Raw genomic sequence first — 21139 nt, 5'->3', positions numbered from 1 at the left:
ACTTATTCACAAAGTGACCTCACACTGCACTTTTCTGAGCCTCAGATTGTGCATCTAAAAACCGAGGATAATGCTTACCTCACTAGGTGGTTGTGAAGAAATGTAAATAAACCGTGTGTGAAAATGATTCCTAAAACCAGAAAACCCCACATAAGCCTCAGTGAGGAAAGCAACACAGTGTAGTAATCAAAGCTAAAAAAAAAAAAAAAAATGTAGGTGTCTGTGCTTGTTGTGGTGGTGGTTGTTGCTATTTATTGTGGTGACGGTGGTTGTGTCAGAGTCTGCAGTCTAATGCCCTGGTAGCTCCTTATTCACAGCTACGTTGATACATCTGCTCAAGTAAATTAAAGTTCCCACCTCAAAAAAGAACACGTTGGCCAAGCACAGTAGTGCACACCTACAGTCCCAGCTACTCGGAGGCTGAGGTGGGAGGATCTCTTGAGCTCAGAGGTTTGAGGCTGTAGCGCGTTATGATTGTGCCTGTGAGTAGCCACTGCACTCCAGGCTTGGCAACACAGTGAGACCCCATCTCTAAATAAATAAAGAAAAAGAAAAAGAACTCATTCTCAAGCCAATGTGTGAATTGACCCAAGTATTTGTTGGCCCAGAAGTATAAAATGTGTTTTCACTAGCCAGTGATGAAAACCTGTCAGTTTCCCATGTCTTTCTTGCTTGTCGCTGTGCATGAGTGAGCTTCTCACACGTTCAAAGGCAGAAGCCATCTGAGTGCTCTCACCTGGCTTTGATACTCTCACCTCGCGCCATCCCTGCTGAGGACCTTAAGGGTCACAGTGTGGCAGTGATTTCTGTGATAAAACAAAAATCTATGTAGTGTGACTGGGGCCCAGATGAAATATAGGCTCCTGAAAGCCCAACCTGGCTGCAGGACCCCAGAACAGGCCCAGGGTTGCTGGAACCCACCCCAGAGACCTTCCCCTCAGAGCTCCCATGAAAGGGAGCAAGAAGGGAGAATGGGTGGCAGAGGCATTTTACAGTTTATCAAGGCATGGGTAGACTAATGTTTTAAAACTAAAAAAGAAAATCCTTGTTGTTCTGTTTACTGAGCATCTACTAAGCGCCTAGTGTTGCACTGAATCTCAGACTAGGACTGTGACTTGTTTGCGAAGGCTCCAGTCCCTGGGCTGTGCATGTGCCAGGGTGCTTGTGAGGAGCAGTCGGTCCCTGCGTCTGAGCATCCTCAGGAAGACCAGGCTGTGCCCCTGGGCCCAAGCCTGGTGTGGAGTGAGGAGAGCTGCGTCAGAGAGAGCCTCGACAGAAGTGGTATGATGAGAACCTGGAGGAGCCCAGCAGGCCTGATGGAAGCAGCTGGTTCCTTGGCTGCCCCTATCCTGCCCAGGAGGTTATTTCTCTGGGAATAAACAGTCCCCTGCAGTTAGCAGGATAAATATAAACACAGCCTCCTGATCAGGGCTCAGAAACCAAGCTTTGCATCCTGGGCTCCCTGCTGCCGCTGCTGCTGCTGCTGCTGCTACAGAAAACAGAATGAGCCAGGGTGCAGCCACGTGGGGCTTCTGCAGCCAAGCAAACAGGCGGCCCCAGTCTCCTTCCGGCTGCCATAACAAAGTACCACGGACTGGGGGACTTAAACAATGGAAATGTATTTTCTCACAATTCTGGAGGCCAGAAGTCTAAGATCAAGGGGCTGGCAGGGTTGGTTTCTCCTGAGGACTCTCTCCTTGGCTTGCAGACAACCACCTTCTCCATATCTTCACGTGGTTTTCCTTGTGTATGTCTGTATCTTAATACACTCTTCCTGTGAGGACACCAGCCATATTGGATTAGGGCTCACCCTAATGGCCTCGTTTTACCTTGATTCCCTTTTTTAAAAAGCCTTTCTACCAATGCAGTAACATTCTGAGGTACTGGAGTGTTACGATCTCAACCTATGAATGTATGGGCATACAGTTCAGTGCAGAACAGGGGCCCAGGAGGTCACCGAGACCATCTCCCTGCCTTCAGACTGAAACTCATCAGAACATTCCTAGAGGGAGGAGAGTCAGCCCAAATTTTAAAGACCACCTTAGAGAAAGATATTTCATATATTTGGTGTGGCTTGGTGATTTTCAGAAATTGCTATTGCTGGTGACTAAAAGCCAGCTTGCTTCCACAAAGCATTTGAATGAATGTAAGTGCTGAAACTGGAATAACTGAACCACAAACTCTAAGAGTGCAGGACCGTGTCCTAGCACAGCACTTGCCATAGCAGGCTCCCAACAGGCTTCCTGTGGACACGAAGAGGACAAGGGAAAGAGGGAGGGATGAAGGAAGCTAAAAATCAATTGGAAAAGGGTGAGGGATGTATCAGGTACTGGGGCGCAGCTCTACAGCAATGAATGGCCACGGTGGCTCTGCACTTCCCATTGGAACACTCAAACTGGGCAATAGGGCACTCAGAGTTCAATAAAAGGCAGCAAGTCACAAGTGTCCTCAGGAAACCAGCACCTCAGATTCTGAATTCTAGGAGGAAGGAATTGCACAGATGGATCTTACTGATTTATGTAGAGACAGGGTCTCACTCTGTTGCCCAGGCTGGAGTGCAGTGGTAGAATCACAGCTCACTCCAGCCTTGACCTCCTGGGCTCAAACAATCCTGCCTCAGCCTCCTGAGTAGCTGGAACTACAGGTGTGAGCCACCATGCCCAGCTTGCTTTTGTTTGTTTGTTTGTTTGTTTGTTTTTAATTGTTTCTAGGGATGGAGTCTCACCATGTTGCCCAGGCTGGTCCCAAACTCCTGGCCTCAAGCAATCCCCCTGCCTTGGCCTCCCAAAGTGCTGGCATGACAGGCATAAGCCACCGTGCCTAGCCTAACAGATCTTTAAAGAGAGACATCGGCAGTGATGGCTTTTCTTTGGTTTTGCAGAAGACACAGGAAGAGTCTTCAAATGGATGCTTCCACTGTCCCTTCAGAAAGGCAGAAGATGGAGCGCTAAATCTGACTGAAGGCACTTCTGTGGGCAGTGAGGGCACTATCGTTCACCTGCTATTTTCTGATCACCCATTTTAATTTAGAGATGGCATTTGAGGGGTCTTTACTGCTGCGGTTACCGGGGTCTCATTCAAACCCTGAGCAGGTGAGCCCATGCCCTCTCACGTCCCAGGCCGGACACTCAGCCCCCTGGCACAGTGACTACACCTCATGGCTGGCACAGAGTAGGAAAGTGAGTAGCTGTGAGTACACACATGAGGGAGGGGGTTGACACTGTTGTGAAACTTCAGCACCATTGCTTGTATCTTCTCCAAGATAGGTCTGCCCGGTGAGGCCTTCTCTTCCCTGCTCCACCCTTTGTGGAGGCCTAACCTTGATAAGGAGCTGAAGAAGCATATTTAGTGTTTCCTCTGTGCCACGTACTCTGCTAAATCCGCCAGCTGTCCCCTCCCCTCTGATCCCCACAACCATCTGTAAGGCAGTGCTGTCTACTTGATAGATGGGGAAACTGAGGCACAGCGAGTAGCTTGCTGACAGCCACCAGTGAGTAGTGGGGGCTGGATCAACCTAAACCCTTGACTCCAGGGCTTGTGATTTAGCCACTGTACTCATACGTGGGCAAGTCACACAGCCTCTCTGAGATAAAGAAAACGCAGTGTCTGAGCACTTCAGCTGTGGATGGTCCTGAGCACTTCAGCTGTGGATGTCCTTGGCCTCCCCGGGAAGCGGCTTTAACAGCAGCCACCCCTACCTGCGTCCGTTTCTTCCCCTTTCGGCTCCTTCTGCAGCCCTTCGCAGTCTGGCGTCCGCACAGCGGTGCCCCCTTCTTTCCTGCACAGAGCCAGCTTCCTCCCAGTTGCCAAATCCCAGTAGGACTGTTAGGTTTCCATCTTACTAGATTCTTCTAGAAATTTCTGACCCCTTGCCCCGTCATTCCTTCCTTCCTGAATGGCCTCTAGCTTCAGCACCTTCATCCTCTCCTGCGTTTGTGGCCTCCCTTTGGCCTCCCTTCCTTAGTCCCCTTTTGGCTACTCTCCTGGTCTGGGCCACCCCACCTGTTTGATCCACAGCCTCTGAACTAGACTCGCTGAACTCACCCCTGCAGTCTGTCCCCAGTACTGCAGCCAGAGACACTTTTTGACTACCACCTCCTAAAATTTTTTAATAAACAGTCCTTGATTGAGAGCATATAAACACTATGAACAAAACACAAACTGATACACCCTCAAGTGTTTCCCTTCTTATAACTGAAAGATTATAGGCTTGAGAGATGAGGTTGAGAAATGGGAGATATAAATTCTGGCTCAGACTTGAGGAAGATTGGTGTCATGCAAGCTACATTATTTATCCTGGATTCAGTTTCCCTGTCTACAAAATGGGAGCAATGATGATATTGTCTTTACTGGGTTATGGTGATGACCACATTAAATAAGACAAAAAATTTGCTCCACATTGCTTGCAGCTATTAAAGATGTTGATGGGTGTTCGTTTCATCGAATTTCCTTTTAAAATTGCATGAGACTCTGCTGACAGAGAAAAAGAAGACAGTTATCAAATAAATTCAGCATATCTGCTGTTGCTTGAAATCTACTTGAATATTATATTTCTTTTTCTTTTTGTAAAACTACTAGTTTATGTTTCTCCCTCACATTAAAATCAAATGAAAGTCATGGTTTTTCTCATTTCAGGGACATTTATATCACCTAAACTTTGCCCTGAAAGTGTGCAGGAGGGATTTGCTGGCTAATCTCTTTGTCCATTGTTTTCTCTGTCACCCAGGCTAGAGTGCAGTGGTGCAGTCTAGGCTCACTGCAGCCTCTGCCTCCTGGGTTCAAATGATTCTCCTGCCTCAGCCTTCCAAGTAACTGGGATTACAGGCATGCACCACCATGCCTGGCTAATTTTTGTATTTTTAGTAGAGACGGGGTTTCACCATGTTGGCCAGGCTGGTCTCAAACTCCTGACCTCAAGTGATCCACCTGTCTCAGCCTCCCAAAGTGCTGGGATTACAGACATGAGCCACCATGCCCAGTCCTTTTTCACTCTTTTCTTCTCTGTTTCCAGCCCCTCTGCCTCAGGGCCTTTGCTCGTGCTGTTGACTAGCCTGAAACACTCTTACCCTAGTCCTTTATCAAACATCCGTTCCTTAACGAGGCCTCCCTGGACCCACCCCACTTAAAACCATGACCTGCCTCCTCCCTGCCCGCACACTCCTCACCCTCTTAGCCTGCTCTATTTTTTATTTTTTGTAGTACTTGCCACTTTCTCACAGGCCACGTAATTGTTTGTAGTTTATTATTCCATCTCCCATACTGAAATGTAAGCTTCTTGAGGGTAGGGGACTTTGTCTTTTAGATCACTGTTGAATCCCAAGGGCCTAGCACAGTTCCTGGCCACAGTAGGCCCTCAATAAATGTTTGTTGAATGAATGTGGTCTCCTTCATAGACTCCTCTTCTGCCCTTTAGATACTGAAGTTCCTCAGGGGCCTTCATTCTCATACCACACGTGCTCCCTGGAAAGTCTTATCCACATGACACCTGAACCCTTGAATGCCAACCTGGACCTTGCAGACCTTGTGCCCAACTGCCTCCATCTCCTGGCTAAGGCATCTTCACTACTCAGTTCCAATGGCACCTGCTCTGGGGCACCCTCCCAAACCGCTTCTCTTGCTTCCCGGAATCCCCTGACATCTCCCTTACTGTCATTTTCATAGGGCATTGTGGTCATTATGTATGAGGACAGGGATCATATCTTATTCATTTTTATTTATAAACTTAACAGTGCTTGTTGGGAGTGAACTTACGGTTTCAAAAGTAGCAACTATCCTATTTGCACCACAGAAAATGTGAAATATTTATAAAAGCAAATAGAAGAAACTTAAAATGAAAATCACAGCTGGGCGCGGTGGCTCACGCCTGTAATCCCAGCACTTTGGGAGACCGAGGCGGGCGGATCACGAGGTCAAGAGATTGAGACCATCCTGGCCAACATGATGAAACCCTGTCTCTATTAAAAATATAAAAATTAGCTGGGCGTCGTGGTGGGCGCCTGTAATCCCAGCTACTCAGGAGGCTGAGGCAGGAGAATCACTTGAACCCGGGAGGCGGAGGTTGCAGAGAGCTGAGATCGCGCCAGTGCACTCCAGCCTGGGCGACAGAGCAAGATGCCATCTCAAAAAAAAAAAAGAAAGAAAATCACCCATTTTCACAACTGAGCAGTGTGCTCCATGTACGGAATTAAGTACGCGTGTGTGCACACATGCACATATATAGCCAAGTAAATTGGAACACTTGGAAAGAATTTCATTTACAAAAAATAATGAATGGCATCCAGTAAAATGCTATTATGGGCTGCAAAGCACAGCAGCATTTTGAGAAAGATGAAGGCAGCCCCTGAGCGCCGAGAGCTGGCCTGGCACTCACAGTGGGGCTGGGAGGATCTGCCATGGAGCATAAGCATTTCACAGAACCCCTGATCAGGCAAGGCCGCCTTATGACCAAGATGGAGTGAGAGAAAAACAAGACCATTCACCCCATAATCATGTCCAAACACAGACCAAAACAAGAACATCGTCCAAACCACTAAAAAGACCAAACATCCCTCATCTGGTTAGTATGAGCAACTGCTGCTTCTTGGCCAATCACAGCTTGGCCTCGCTATGTCGTTCCCATCTTCCAGCTAAGAATTAAGATGCCCAGTCATAGAAGTACTTCCGCTCTTTGGCAGCATCCCATCCAGAGCGAAGCCTGCTTCCTTAAGTCCTCCATAAATCACCTAACTCAAGAACTCAAGCCCAACTCCTAGAATTAGCCCTCTTTGATACCCTCTGACTGAGATGCCCCAGAATCCATGGTGGCCAAGCTTCCTCATTGCAGTGAGCCAGTAAGCTCAATTGTGTTTTGACTACAGGTGTGTTCCTGGAGGTCTGTGGGCAATCTTATTCACCATAGTCTTCCTTCCCCTGCCCTCATGTCTGGCACACAGCAGGTCTCAAAAACATGTTGAGTTAACTGAAACTAAGATGGAGACAATGTTTCTGGTACAGTGTCTGCTGGTGATCACTGGACAAACTGTCAGTTCTGTTGGGAATTTAGCAGCTGCTCCCTGAGGACCTGCATTCTGGAGGGTGGCAAGAAGTCCAAGACATGGGCCATGTCCTCACTGGCAAGCTAACATAGAAAAACACAAAGGGTTAAATCTCTGGGACAATGGTCAGGACAGGGGCTGTCACAAGACAGCACACAGTTAAATGCCTGGTGAGCTGAAAGTGCTGTCAGATGATGGCGAGGATTCAGACAGGCGAAGAGAAAAGGAAATAAGTCATTCCTGACCTTGAAAGGTGGGGCTGGGGAGCTCAGGGCAGCTGAGCTGGAGAGTGATCTGGGCAGAGCTGTGCCTCAATACCACCAACTGGGACAGTGCACAGAATGAGCCAAAAGGAGAGAGAATATTTCCAGAAAACCAGGGAGTCTGGGTCCCAGGTCATATGAAGGGAGGGGGACAATAGGCAAGGCAAGGAGGTGGCAGGAAGGTAGATTTGAAATTGGGCAGAACTGAGTTGCAATCCCGGTTGTGCCATTTTCTGTGACCCTGACCTTCAAGGTCATTAACGTCTCTGAACCTCAGCTTCCATCTCCTTCTATCGCACAGGGTCTGACACAAAGTCATGCCACAGATCCAGGGCAGGCGTTTTGGCCACAGCAAGTACCCTGGCGCAGTATGATTGAATGCTCATCTCAGGGAAAAATCACAGTTGCATTCTCTGAACCTAAGGCTGAGTCAGGCCTCAAGAGGTGGAGTGGGGCTGGGACCTGTGCTGCCTTACTTCTCTGAGCCTTGGTTTCCTCACCGGCATAATGACACCTCCCCCAGGAGCTGCTCTGGGGATTACACCTGTGAAAGTACCAGCAGAGTGCTTGGTCTGGGATAGGGGCTCCATAAATTCAGTCCCCACCATCCCTCACTTCCTGTGTGCGGGCCATCAACCTCCCCATCTGTGTGTGGCAGCTGAGAGTGGAATGTGCCATTAGCTCCAGCCCCACCCCCATTAGAGGAGGGGTGCGCCCCCATTAGAGGAGGGGTGCACCTTACCCCTCAGCCGCAGTCCAGTGACCACAGCCAGGCCCTGACAGAGACCCTTGTGCTTTGACATTTTGGGCTGGATGAAAAGAGAGAGAGACCCATGTGCTGAGGTGCTGTGGGCAGCCCCTTTACCAGCCCATAGGGCAGGTGCAGGTCGGGCTAGCAGAGCAGACACACAGCTCTCCGTGGGCCTCTAGAGCACCTCCCTGGCTGCAGCTGAAAGGTGTGGGTTTGTTTGCATCATGGCTCCTCATCTTTATTCCTCCTTTGAAGCAGCCAACCAGGCTGGCTTCTGTGGGAAGACCAAGCATGGGGACACCTCAGTTTGAGGGAGCCGGGCCCTTAAGGAGTGGCCTCTGTGCATTGAGTCGTCCCCGAGGGCTCTGCGTGCCCCCTCAGCCTGGGCACTGAGCGCCCCCAGATGTGGCTTGTAGCTCCATGGAAAGGACGAGGCTGTGCTTCTCCAGGTGTATAAAACTGAATTCATTGAGAGGGCTTGGAACTATCCACTTGAGAGCAGGATTTGTTGCTTTACAAACCACCAGAGACTTCCTTTTAAAATCTCCTCCTGTGTGATAGAGGAATTGAGGTAAAGTGATTGAATTGACATTGTCTTGCTGCTCTGAGCTGCCCGCTGGTCTGTCACCTCACGCCTGGCTGGTCTGTCTCCCTTCTGAGAGGTGGTATGACCCTGGAGCTGTTCCCCACACAAGCCCCACATGAGCGCCCTGAGGTGGGAGGGAGGAGTGAGGGACGGGGTAGGTGGGCAGAGCTTTCTTCATCTCATTGCTCCTCACTCCGGGTTCATCAGTCACGTCTTTGTCCCATCAAAGGCCTCCCTTGGTCTTGGATTTAGTCTTCTCCCAAAATTCTGGGCTGAGATGAGGGCTCTGCTCTTTCTGTGTGTGGGGGCGGGGGGGGGGGTTAGAAGGGGCAGTGATCTCATCCCTGGAAAGGATTAGTCATCAGGGAGACAGGGACAGATCTTGGGGTGGCGGTGGGGGGGGCCTGGAGACGGGCTGTATGTAAATGAGTCATCTTCCCGCCAGCTCAGGGCCGAGCTTGACAGCTGCTCCCCAGGAGAGGTTGTTAAACGGGAGCTACCCGGAGGCAGGAGTGGTTAACCGGCTTTTAATAACTCATTTTGCTGAATGATTTCTGGTGAGGAGAGAAAACCTTAATCCCAGAGATAAAGCACAGAGTGGGGGGTGGTTGAAGTCAGCCCTGCTAGCAAGGAAGGCTGTGCCGAGGTACAAAGTCGATTCAAAGAAGTCACTTGCATTTGCTCCCAGTTAACCAAAACCTCTCTAATGTTAGAAGTCACTGGCCTGAGCCTGTGGGGTTCATCCTCTGTCCCTAGCTCCCCTACTCCTGCCACCTCAGCTGTCCCCGCCTCCCATCTTGTTGTCATCAAATGAAGAAAGTCACCTCAAAGGCCCCCAGAGAACAAGACAAAAACAAGCAGAACAGGGGCAGAGGGCCATTTTCTCTGTGCCTGGCTGACTGGAGCCTCTCTGTCCGGATCACTGCGCACCCAATGCAAGAGGGGTGCACTGGATGCTCCCACCCCACGCCTGGCTTCGGAGGGAAGAAAACCAAGAGCTTCTGTCCTCAGGGAGCAGTCCATCCAGCTCTGCAAATCAGACAAACCAGCAAGCGCCAACAAATAGAGCAGCCCACGGTCTCAGCTTTTCCACAACAGCCCCATTTAAAAATATCTCTCCCACACACACACACTCTCACTTTGGGGACTGGAAAAGATGGTGCCTAACCTCTAGCCGGGCCTCCTACCCAGCGTAGGGGCCAAAGCAGGAAGTGAGCCAGAGGTGGGGAGATGGAGGCCCAGCGAGGTAGGAGAACGGCGAGCCAATGGTAGAGCCAGGCTTGACTGTGCCTACGGGGGCATTTCCCTGCCATGGAAATCCATATGTCATGTCGTGATTTGCCCATTCCTTGCCTGCCTCACCTGAGCCACTTTGCTGTGAAATAAGGTCCATGCCTCACCCATCGTGCTTCCCAGCTAAGCTTGGTGCTTTTGGGGAGCTTACTATGTCCCGGGCACTGTGGGATGCATGTGGGAACTACATCCTCATTTAATCTTCACAGTGACATTCAGAGGTAGGGCAGTGGGCCGGGCACAGTGGCGCACTCATGTAATCCCAGCACTTTGGGAGGCCAAGGTGGGCAGATCACCTGAGGTCAGGAGTTGGAGACCAGCCTGGCCAACATGGTAAAACCCCGTCTCTACTAAAAATACAAAAATTAGCCAGATGTGGTGGCACGCACCTGTAGTCCCAGCTACTTGGGAGGCTGTGGCAGGAGAATGGCTTGAACCTGGGAGGTGGAGGTTGCAGTGAGCCAAGATCACACCACTGCACTCCAGCCTGGGCGACAGAGTGAGCCTGTCTCAAAAAAATAAAAAATAAATAAATAAGTAGGGCATTGGGCCATTTTTAGAGGGAGAAGCGAGGGTCCGAGAAGGTAAGGAATGTGTCCATGTCACCTCCTTAGCAGGTGGAGGCGCCAGAGCCTGAAACCACCGTCCCTGTTCCTAGTTCTGCTCTCAGCTCTCCGAGGGAGGCCCTTCCCAAGCCTGCAGGAGTTAAGACTTGCTGAGTTTGTCTTCTGAACATGAGGCTTACCAGATCCTAGAAGTTTCTACAGAGCAGGGCACAATGCCAGGTGCTAGGCTTGGATGCTGGCACCTAAAAGTGCCAGGCAATGCTCACTTCACAAAGCTCCTGTAGGGTCAACCTGAGTCCCAGGTGGCTAGGAGGTGCTCCCAATGTTACCAGATGGAACGCCTTGACTGTGAGTTGTCCAGGTTCTTGGCACGTTAAACAAAGAATAGAAAAACCCTTACAAAGCAACAAAAGAATAAAGCAATGAAAGACAAAGCAACAAAAGAACGGTTGCCAGGTGTGGTGGTGGGTGCCTGTAGTCCCAGCTACTCTGGAGGCTGAGGCAGGAGGATCACTTGAGCCCAGGGGGCAGAGGTTGCAGTGAACTAAGATCATACCACTGCACTCCAGCCTGGGTGACAGAGCAAGATCCTGTCTCAAAGAATAAACTTTAAAAAAAGAAAAAGAAAAAAGCAGTAATAAAAGCACAGATTTATTGAGGCAAAAGTACATTCCACAAAGTGGGAGCAGACTCAAGCAGGTGGCCCAAGAGCCTCTCTACTGCAGTGCTCCCCAGGGTTTTTTTTTTTTATGCTATTTACAAATTTGTTTGTTTGCTTATTGTTACTAGAATGTGTGCTCCAGGATAGTCAATGTTGTCTGTTTTGTTTAAAGCTGTATCCCTAATGCCTATGACAGCCTGCTACACCGTGTGCAAATAAATGTTTGTTGAATGAATGAATATTGTTTTTTGTTTTTGGGGGTTTTTTTTGAGACGGAGTCGCGCTTTGTCACCCAGGCTGGAGTGCAGTGACATGATCTCAGCTCACTGCAACCTCTGCCTCTCCCCAGGGTTTTTATAAAGCTAAAAGAATTTGCTAGCACCCCTAGGTGCCCTTTAGAGGCCTAGGGTTAGTTACACCCCATGAAGGACTGGCCTGTGACCAATCAGAGGCTGAAGTGACAGCTTGGCCCACAATCAATCAGAGGCTGAAGTGGAAACTTCTGTCTTATCACAGGAGTGAGGATGTGGCCTATGTGCTGCCTAATCTTGCCTAGAACTGGCTGCACCCACTGTTTTTACGCCTTAACCTTTGGTTACCCCAATTCCCTCTTCTCCTGCCTCACCAGCATTGTCCCTTGCCTTCTTCCACAGATTCCCCTGCTCCATCAGCCAGAGTCACTGGACGTTTCCTATGGGCCAGGCTTCACCAGCAGGCTGAACCCCCTCACCCTGCCCAGTGGCCCTGGGCACTGCACTGTCCCAGCAGGGGATGCCTTTCCCAAGCCTAGGCCTCTGCTCCCTGTCAATCTCTTGAAATCCCACCTAATCTTTTTTTTTTTTTTAAACAGGGTCTTGCTCTGTCACCCAGGCTGGAGTGCAAGGGTGCAGTCATGGCTCACTGCAGCCTTGACCTCCAGGGCTCAAGCCATCCTCTCACTTCAGCCTCCTGAGTAGCTAGGACCACAGGCACACGCCACCACGCCCAGCTGATTTTCAAATTTTTTGTAGAAATGGGGTCCCACTATGTTGCCCAGGCTGGTCTTGAACTCCTGGGCTCAAGCGATCCAACCGCCTCAGCCTCCTAAAGTGCTGGGATTACAGGTGTGAGCCACCGTGCCCGGCCCCACCCAGTTGTTAAGACTGAACACAAATATCTCTTCTTCCATATGTCTTTCCTAATCATTCCACCAGGAAGGCCTCAGTTCTGATGTTGACCTAAACTGGTCTGGATGCACCCGGGGATTGGGGATTATTTTCAGTTCCCCAGGTGATTCTATTGTGCAGCCAGAATTGAGAATTGCTGCTCTTGCCAAAAGCAACCTACCTCTCCTTCTTCCAAACTCTTGTACATTTGCTGCTTTATCACATTGCAAGCTCCTTCCTCTAGTTTCAAATCTCTGCCATGTGCTTGCTTTGTGATCTTGGGCAAGTTACTGAACTTCAATGTCTTTATCTGTTAAATGCAACTCAGTTTACTAATCTCACAACTGGGGACAATAATCATCCCCACTATAGTTCATCAAATCTAAGACACTATTGGTTATGAACACACCATCATGGTACGTACCATTAGGAATTTAAAATACTGCCAAATAAACTATCAGGCCATTGACTGTAAGATGCACGATTTTAGAGATGTTAACATGAGAGGAAAAAAGCTGTGACTTGGAATCAGTGAAAACATGGAGCCTCATGCAGTTGTTGTGAGGATTAAATGAATTGATACGCGTGCAGCACTTGGCACGGTGCGTGGAAATAGTGAGGCTCGATACACAACAGCAGTTATTATACCCTCCGCATTTTCAGTCCTCAGTAGTGACTTCTCCAGCTATTCTTTTAGCACCAGCTTTCCCAAAAGGTTCAGGGCTTGTCCACGGTGGTCGGTTGTCCTCCCCGGGGGTGTGACATGGAGATGGCTGACATGTGCAGCCCTGAGGTACCAGGGCTGGGGCACATGTCCCAGGGAAGTCTTTGGCCCAGTGCCCTCTCAAGTGTCCAGTCCTCCCCCACTGAGTCTGGCCAGAAGCCCACTCCTACTCCCAGAGAGGCGATGTCGCAGTTCCAGCCACGGAGCAGGCTGTTGGCAGCCCCGCCCTCCATCCCACAGCCCTCCCCCATCTCCCACTCCTCCCTGTTAGGAGAGAGAGGGACATGGGGAGGCCTGGCCGCTGGCCTGGCTGGGCAGGGCTCAGCCTTGTGTGAGCCTTGGGTTCCTTGATTAAAGTGAGGCTCTTAATCCCAACACTGGCCAGTCAGGAAGGATCAAATGAGATGGGAATATTGGGAGAAGCTTCTCAGAGGAGTGTACCAAGCTGACAAGTGGAGTCATGAGTAGGGTTGCCAGGTTTAGGAAATAAAAAGACAGCATGCCCAGTGAAATTTGAATTTCAGATAATCAACTATATTTTAGTATAAGTATGTCCTATGCAATATTTGGGACATACTTATACTTAAAAAATGATTTCTTGTTTACCCAAGTCATATTTAACTGGGTGTTCTGTATTTTACCTGGCAACCCTAATGAGCCATGGGCCATGCCCAGTATTTCTGAGTCTTTTTCCATCCCTGCCCACTGAGTCCACGCCTCAGCCTTCCCATGGTTTCTCTGTAGTCATGAAAATGCTCTGCACTGATTGACTTAGGTCTACCCATTCTTGAGCCAGTCATGGTAAGGAACTGGATTATCCTGATTGGCCTAGACTAATAGAGCCCATTCCTGGAGTTCAGTCTGTTCTCCAAGTAGCCTGGCTGCTACTCAATATAGTACAGGCTGGGAGAATGATTGGTAAGGAGAGAGCTGCAGTGCCCACCACAAAAATTTTAGGTCAATGGAAATTTAAATCAAAATATTTGTAGTTGGACAGATTCCAACCAATAGGGTCATCTGGAATACCTTATTAACATTATTTCTTAAAGGAATGGCATTCTTAAAGGAATATTCCATTTACATCAGATTTATCTGGAGACATTTGTTAAAATGAAATTCCTGGGCCCATTTTCTGACCCACTAAATAAACCTCTGAGCGGGACCTGCCATGGAATCTGCATTTTAATCATGTGTCCCAGTTGCTTGGAACAGCCCTGGTTTATACATGCTGTCCTGGGGTAATTACTAGTAGAGCCACTTTCACTCTCAGAAGTATCCCAGATTGGACTGTACAGTACGTTTTATTTCCCTCTCTCACAGTTGACAGTGCAGAGCCCAGCAGGAAAAGTCTCCAGCGGGTAATGAGTCAAGACTTCCCATCTGTCTGGCAAGTGGAAAGGGCATGGGCTTCAGGGCCAGCTCAGCCACGTACAAACTAACTTCAGTGAATGCTTCCCCTCCCTCAGCCCATTTCCTTGCCTGCATTTTTGGGCGTAATAGTGCCTCCCTCACAGGGTGGCTGGGGGCCTGGATGGGAGGAGTGTGTCAAGGGCCCAACCGAGGCTGCCGCCCAGGGCTGCACGATACAGATCAGTGCTGGCCTCTCCATCTCACTTCCATGCTCTCTGAGCTGAACTCCGAAGGCCCCATCACCAGGGCCCCATTTGCGAAGGCGGCACCAGACAGGCTGTGGGAACGAGCTTCACAGCTTTTGTCAAAGTGGCATAATAAAGCCCCCAAGTGTCTGCTCTTTGCAAACTGGGATGGCAGATCAATTGTGGCATAAACAAAATAGCAGGCTTGGTGCGAACCCAGGGACAGATCACGCCTCTGCAGGGTGTGATTGAGGGGGAGGAGGAGATTCTCAGGGTGGCTGGGTTTGCCTTTTCTCTGGCTGAAGCTTTGAGGCCCCTCTCCAGAGCAGCTTGGCTCCCCACAAATTGCAAGAGCTTGGGAGACTGCTTCTCTACTCTGGGAGGCAACTGGCTAGGCAGTGGCACAAGCATAGGCCCCAGTGCCCTCAGCAGGAAGCCTGTCCCAGGGTCTCAGCACCCCCCCAGAGCTCTGAACCTACTGACCTTGATGCGGAAGAAGGATGGACCATCCTCCACCCCCACCTTGTCTCCCAGGATGAGCTGAGTGTGCTCTGTAGGAAAGCGAAGGGCAGTAAAGCAGGCACAGAGAGACCTCAGGAACAGGACAGTAAGGACGCTTTCACTGGTTGCCCTGTGCGCTGTCGGAGACCCTTCTGCCTCACCTGTCCCTTCATTCTGGGCAGATGGTGTTACACAGCTAGTCTAGTATTTAGCATCATTTGGGGCCTGCAGCACTCCCTAGCTAAGTTGTTATGCTGAATGCAAGCTGAACCAGGGCCGTAAGAAGACCCCAGGACAAGTTCTGGCCCAGACTATATGCGCCCTGTCCCAGAGGTGAGCCTGCTGGCAGCAAAGGGGGTAGGATCTGTACAAAACTGCTAAGAAACCCAGTGAGGGGCCTCTAGGAAGGCAGCCTAGAGACTGAGGACAGGAACTGCATCTGTCTGGTTTTCCACCATATTTCTGAGCCTTGCATGATACTGCCAACCTGATGCTGTCCACAGTAAATGTTTGCTGAAGGAATGAATAGGTGGATGTTGGTCTTACCAGCTTCATGTCTGGTGTTGGTTGCCTTGCTGAGGCCCTCGGATAAAGCCACACCCTTGTGAGGAGGGAGCATGAGGCCGGTCACATTCTAGGTTTGGTCATCCAGGAAAAAGGCAGATCCTCAACTGGAAACCCAAACTCCAATAGATGGCCTTGGGCAGAAGCCAGGAGTCCAGACATGGAAGAGTTTGGAGGAGTCAGAAGAGGCCCCCAGAGAGTGGAGGAGATGGCCTTGGCCTCACAAGAGTAGGTCAGGCAGGGCAGGCCTGTGGGGGGCCTCAAGAGGCCAATGAGTACCCCAGCTGTGGTCAGCCAGGCAGACTGTCACCCAGAAGCAGCAGTCTCCTCTGCACCTCATTCCTCGCGCTGTCCTCAAGCCCTGGGTCAAGTCTTATGTAAATAGCCCAGCTTGTCTGAGCTGTGCCACGGGGAGGTTATGAGTCTACCTTGGCAGACTCTTTAGGGGATAGGCCATGGCCCCTCTCCCCTGTGAAGGGGACAGCAATGATCAGTAGAAAGGAGGCCAGAGAGGACAGAGGACTCTTAAGGATGGGAGTCACAACTCTGAGCAGCAGCCACTCTCCCACGAAGATGCTCCCCTGGCTGTGGTCCTGGAGGACTGCAATTTGGTTTCTTAAGAAAAATGGAGCTTCCTTGGTGCCCTCAGAATACAGTCTAATGTGGTGGAAAGAGCATGAACTTTAGATGCTAGCACACCTGGGTTTCAGTCTCGGCTCCACCATTTCCAAGCTGTGGGGACTTCGCAACTGCTTTTCACCCTTTAACCTGCAGTTTCTGCATCTGTTGAATGGAGCTGTTCTCCCCCATAGGTTGTCATGATGACATGCGATGATGCAGGCAGGGCCAGCATTGTTAGGTGGTGGCTTTCACCACAATGAAGAGAAAATCCAGGTGGAACCAGTTTATTAAATGGGCCGACACTGGAAATGGCTTTGTCTCATCTATTGTCTTTAAGAACTCCCTTTTAGATTCCTTAACATCTTGGGTAAATGCTAGAGTTATCCAAATAGTTTTTATGTCTTTTTGTGTTTTGGGGTTTTTGTTTGTTTTTGAGACGGAGTTTCGCTCTGTCGCCCAGGCTGGAAGGCAGTGGCGCGATCTTGGCTCACTGCAACCTCTGCCTCCCGGATTCAAGCGATTCTCCTGGCTTAGCCTCCCAAGTAGCTGGGATTACAAGTGCACTCCACTATGCCCGGCTAATTTTTGTATTTTTAGTATAAACGGAGTTTCGCCAAGTTGCCCAGGCTGGTCTTGAACTCCTGGCCTCAAGTGATGCACCCACCTTGGCCTCCCAAAGTGCTGGGGATTACAGGCGTGAGCCACCAGGCTCAGCCAGTTTCTTTGTTTCTTTTCTTTCTTTCTCTTTTTTTTTTTTTTTCTGAGGGAGTCTCACTCTGTTGCCCAGGCTGGAGTGCAGTGGCGCAATCTCGGCTCACTGCAAGCTCCGCCTCCTGGGTTCACGGCATTCTCCTGCCTCAGCCTCCCGAGTAGCTGGGACTACAGGCACCCGCCGCCACACCTGGCTAATTTTTTTTTTTTTTTTGTATTTTTAGGAGAGACGGGGTTTTTGCATATTGGTCAGGCTGGTCTTGAACTCCTGACCTCAAGTGACCTGCCCACCTTGGCCTCCCAAAGTGCTGGGATTACAGGCATGAGCCATCACGCCCGGCCTCTTTTGTTGTTGTTGTTGTTGTTAATTAAGTACCAGTTTTAAGATTGAGACTCGTTCTCAGTTGTTTAATCAAATCTTCAAATTCACTTCTAATCAGAGCTTATTTAGCCTCCCCCTCTAGCTCTGGGCTGACACATGGCTCAGGGGACCCGCAGTGGATGGGGCATGGGGGTGATCTTACATCACTGGAGCCACTATCATTCCTTCTTAACTTTTGCTGGTGGGGCTGCAAGGCTCCCTGTTAGAACAGGCATATGTGCTTTCACGGCATCTATTTATGGGTCCTTGGGAGCCCTGCACAGGGACCACTCCCTGCCCCATTCCCTGAGTGGGCACTGCCCTCTCCATCCCTCCTCCTGTGACTCCCTCTCATGCTGTCCCCAGCCCTCTGCCCCTCAGCCTCTTCTTCCTAGGGCCCCCTTGCTCCAGCAGGCAGCCCTCTTGAGCAGTCTCTTCAGATCTCTTCCTTTCAGTATCCACTTGTCACCCTCTGGTGACCCATGTCACCCTCACATCTCCTGATGAAGCAAGCCCTTGAAGTACAGATGGCCCCTGGGACTGCCCTCTTCCTCCCCTGCCTGTGGGGGCTGCCCCAGTCAGCCTCCCACCCAGAGAACTCTCCAGCACAGCTCTGGACTCCAGGGGACACTGCCGGGTTCTCCCAGAACCCTCACCATGCTCCACTCTGGGTAGGCCTGTGAGCGGCTGTGCCCAGCCAGCTAGGAAGTGAGCTGCCGGGCTCTTGCTGACACTCCATAAGTCCTCTTGACCTTCCCTGCTCCAACCATCCCCTGGCCTGGGGGTGAGTGAAAGAATCCACAGCACTCTCCACTGCCACAACAACTACCCATAACAACTTCCCAACTGATGGAAGATCCCATCAATCCCCAGCCTTTCCGTACAGCCTGGAGGTGGGGGTGTGGGGGGTTGCTAGCCCCAGACCTGTTTTGCTGTTTTATTAAGTCCAGCATGGATGTGTCTGGAACTTCTCTTTAGAATGGGGAGAAATGTACACATACTGTTCTCAGCTTTGAGGCTTTAGCTGAAAAATCCAATTCAGTATTTTCTTAGTTAGACAAAGTATTGGTTTTCCAGGCCCAGGATTTTCAATTACCTTAGGAATTTAACAGAGTTATCCTTCTATAAGAGACTTTGTGTTCCCTCAGTGAGTAGATGCAGTGTTCTGTATACCGATCTATGCACCAGGCTTGAAGCCAGGACAAAGAGGTGGGAGTCTGTCCCCAACATGCAGGTCACAGCCCCTCAGCCCCTACTCCCTCACCTATACAGTGATGGGTACGTCAGAATTGGGTATCTGAGAGTTCTAACAGTCTAGAAGTTTAAAATTTTTTTCTCACTATGAGTACAAAAAAACTCACAAAACATACAATTTAACAGATTATTACACAGCTAACACACATGTAACTACCACCCAGGTCAACAAAAACATTTCTAGCACCCCAGAGGTCCCCTATGTCCCCTCTCAGCTACTACCCCCTGCCATGCTCTAGAGGAAATCCCAATTCTGACTTTTATCAAAATTACTTCCTTGCTTTCCCTTATAATTTTACCAACCATGCATGCATCCCTAAAAAAGGCTGTAGTTTGGCCTGATTTTGAATTTTATGTTAATGGAATAATGCAGAATGTATTATTTTGTGTCCAGCTTATTTTGTTCCACATTCTTTTTGTGAGATTTATCCATGTTGTTTCAAGTAGCTATGGTTCATGCTTTTTAATTGCTGTATAGTTTTCCTTTTTATGAATAGACAATCATTTAGTTGTGTTGTTAGACATTTAGGTTACTGGTCTAAAACGTTTTATAAATATACACATATACTCCCACTCCACTTATAGCCATGTAAATTCAGAGCTGATTTCTTTATAAACTCAAGAACTTGAGTGTGGCTTTAAAATGTAGCAAAATCCCTCTATCAAGTTCTTGGTTACACAGCTATTTTGGTTTTTTTCACTTTCTGTAAATCTAGGGACATAATCCATCTTCCTCAACATGGGTAACATCATAAGATTTTCCCCTCACCTGAGTCATTAAGCGTAAGATCAACACCACACTCGGGCAACTGGGCATTTCCTTCAGACAGTCTAGAAAATGATTGTTAGCACATAGGCTTAAGGAATGTACTCTGAAAGTATTACAAGAAATATTTTCTATAGTCTGTTTAGGAAACTAGTAAGCCACATAGGACAAACTCTTCTCCACTTTCCCAGGGCTGGCCCCACCCCACTGGCAGAGCACAGGTAGCCCTTCTGCCATAGGGCACAAATTAAACAGGGATGCCCCTGATCGCTGCCAGACTTGCTGAACAGTATCATGGTGCTGCTCAAATGATCCATTTTTTCAGCTCAGACTCCAAGCAGTAAGTGAATCTTTCCACCAAGAGATGAAACCCCCTCCCATAACCAGAGTCAGGCAACCACGGGTCCCACAGACCACAGCCAGCACTGGGCAGGGAGCTCAGTTGAGAGGCAGAGCTGCCACTCTGCACTGCCCTGGATGGCATGGGCGAGCACACTGGCAGGCAGCCACACCTTCTGCAGAAATCAATTGATAAAGACACCCTTAAAGCCTGTGCTTTGAACAAGTGGTAAGTTAACAACGATAAGGGCCTGAAGCAATACGCAGTTGTATAGACCTCCCAGAACAAAGCAATTTGATATACCAGCAGCACAGGACCCAGCTGGGCCAGAGCCTTTCTTTGGCCACAAGTGTGAGCAAGGATGACTGATGGTGATCCTTGGTTGAGAAGGAGCCGGCACCCAATGGCAGAGCCATGCTCAGTCTCTGAAGGGTGTGGGTGGACTACTCTCAAGCAATCCTTTTGTCAGCCTCACAAAGCTCTTTTCAGAGACCATTAACTCTAGCTACCTGGTTACACTCTACCTGGTCCCAGAGTGAACAATCCCAATTAAGGCAAAGCCCTATGGAATGCTTCCCTAACAAGGCTGTCTGCCCAGGTGTACTACAGGTTACATTTAAAAACCAGGCTTTTGGAGAAAAACTCGTAGTCAACAGTTGTTCGGCTCGGATTCACTCACAATTCCAAATAACTTGAGGAAAGAAGAGGAGCTGCAGTTGACTTTTGAGCACTGACACTTAATTTTGGGGTCCTTTAGTTAGTAGGCAGAGTTGGTAAACTGATTTTTTTTTTAATAACAGGGAGGGACCGAAAATCTATGGCACACTTGGGAAAAAAAATTGGGCACATATGACAACTCTTTAAAAACTGCCCTTTGAACAGAAAAGTCTGCTATTCTAGTATGTAAGACTTTGGAGTCATCTGGGAATTGATTTGAAATGCACATTTTCTTGTCACCCCATATTCACACTGTAAGAACTAGGGAAGTGACGGACTACCCACTTGGCCTTAGGCCCAATTCCAGAGGCATGAAATGTTGGCAGACTAAGAAAATATGGTCCTTTCTCTGCCATTAGAAAAAATAACAAAGAATTCACTGGACATGGTGGCATACACCTGCAGTCCTATCACTTGGGAGGCTGAGGTGGAAGGATCACTTGAGCCCAGGAGTTTAAAGCTGCAGTGAGCTATGATTGTACCACTGCATCCAGCCTGGGTGACAAAGAACCTATCCCCCCAAAAAAGAAAATATGATCGTTTGACCAAAGGCCTTTTCGAAGTGCCTGTAAAGTGAAAATTAGTCACAGCACTAAGATTACTTGGCTTTTTTCACCATTCTCAAGTAGGCAGTGGAGTTTCCAAGTAACAAGACTGGTATAAAAAGTGCACAAGCACATAAGAAG

At 49.3% G+C, this 21139-nt stretch overlaps 2 protein-coding genes and 1 long non-coding RNA gene across 37 annotated transcripts in view, besides 1 other annotated feature; 1 reads left to right on the top strand and 2 right to left on the bottom strand.

Annotated features, from left to right (window-relative positions):
* The window catches only part of MSH2 (mutS homolog 2), a 306764-nt gene that overhangs the window by 166361 nt on the left and 119264 nt on the right, over positions 1-21139 (bottom strand). The window contains exons 17-18 of one of the 35 annotated variants that reach the window (NM_001406674.1): positions 10317-10436; positions 5694-8598 (exon numbers count right to left, since the gene is read on the bottom strand). The exons of 32 other annotated variants lie outside the window; for them this stretch is intronic. In NM_001406674.1, coding sequence (NP_001393603.1) covers positions 8426-8598; positions 10317-10436 — 293 coding nt within the window. In that variant the 3' untranslated portion in view covers positions 5694-8425. Of the gene's footprint in view, positions 1-5693; positions 8599-10316; positions 10437-11128; positions 12206-21139 lie in introns of those variants that run through there. 2 more of the 35 variants (NM_001406634.1, NR_176230.1) reach the window with 2 other exon arrangements.
* KCNK12 (potassium two pore domain channel subfamily K member 12) overlaps positions 1-21139 on the top strand; it is a 61696-nt gene that overhangs the window by 27516 nt on the left and 13041 nt on the right. The gene's annotated exons all lie outside the window — the stretch shown is intronic.
* Positions 8320-8835: an enhancer, noted in NCBI's record as "H3K27ac-H3K4me1 hESC enhancer chr2:47761774-47762289 (GRCh37/hg19 assembly coordinates)". NCBI's record gives its function as "activates a minimal SCP1, AML or CMV promoter by ChIP-STARR-seq in primed H9 embryonic stem cells {active_cell/tissue: H9 hESC(primed)}" and the evidence as "EXISTENCE:reporter gene assay evidence [ECO:0000049][PMID:30033119]".
* Positions 14306-15933, bottom strand: MSH2-OT1 (MSH2 overlapping transcript 1). Its single transcript, NR_120602.1, has 3 exons — positions 15666-15933; positions 15102-15169; positions 14306-14403 (listed from the first exon to the last, which is right to left on the bottom strand). It is a non-coding gene; the product is annotated as an MSH2 overlapping transcript 1 (long non-coding RNA).

The sequence above is a fragment of the Homo sapiens genome, chromosome 2, assembly GCF_000001405.40.
Source record: "Homo sapiens chromosome 2, GRCh38.p14 Primary Assembly".
Lineage (NCBI taxonomy): Eukaryota > Metazoa > Chordata > Mammalia > Primates > Hominidae > Homo > Homo sapiens.
The sequence above is the reverse complement of the archived record's forward strand: the minus strand, read 5'-3'. Positions and strand labels throughout refer to the sequence as shown.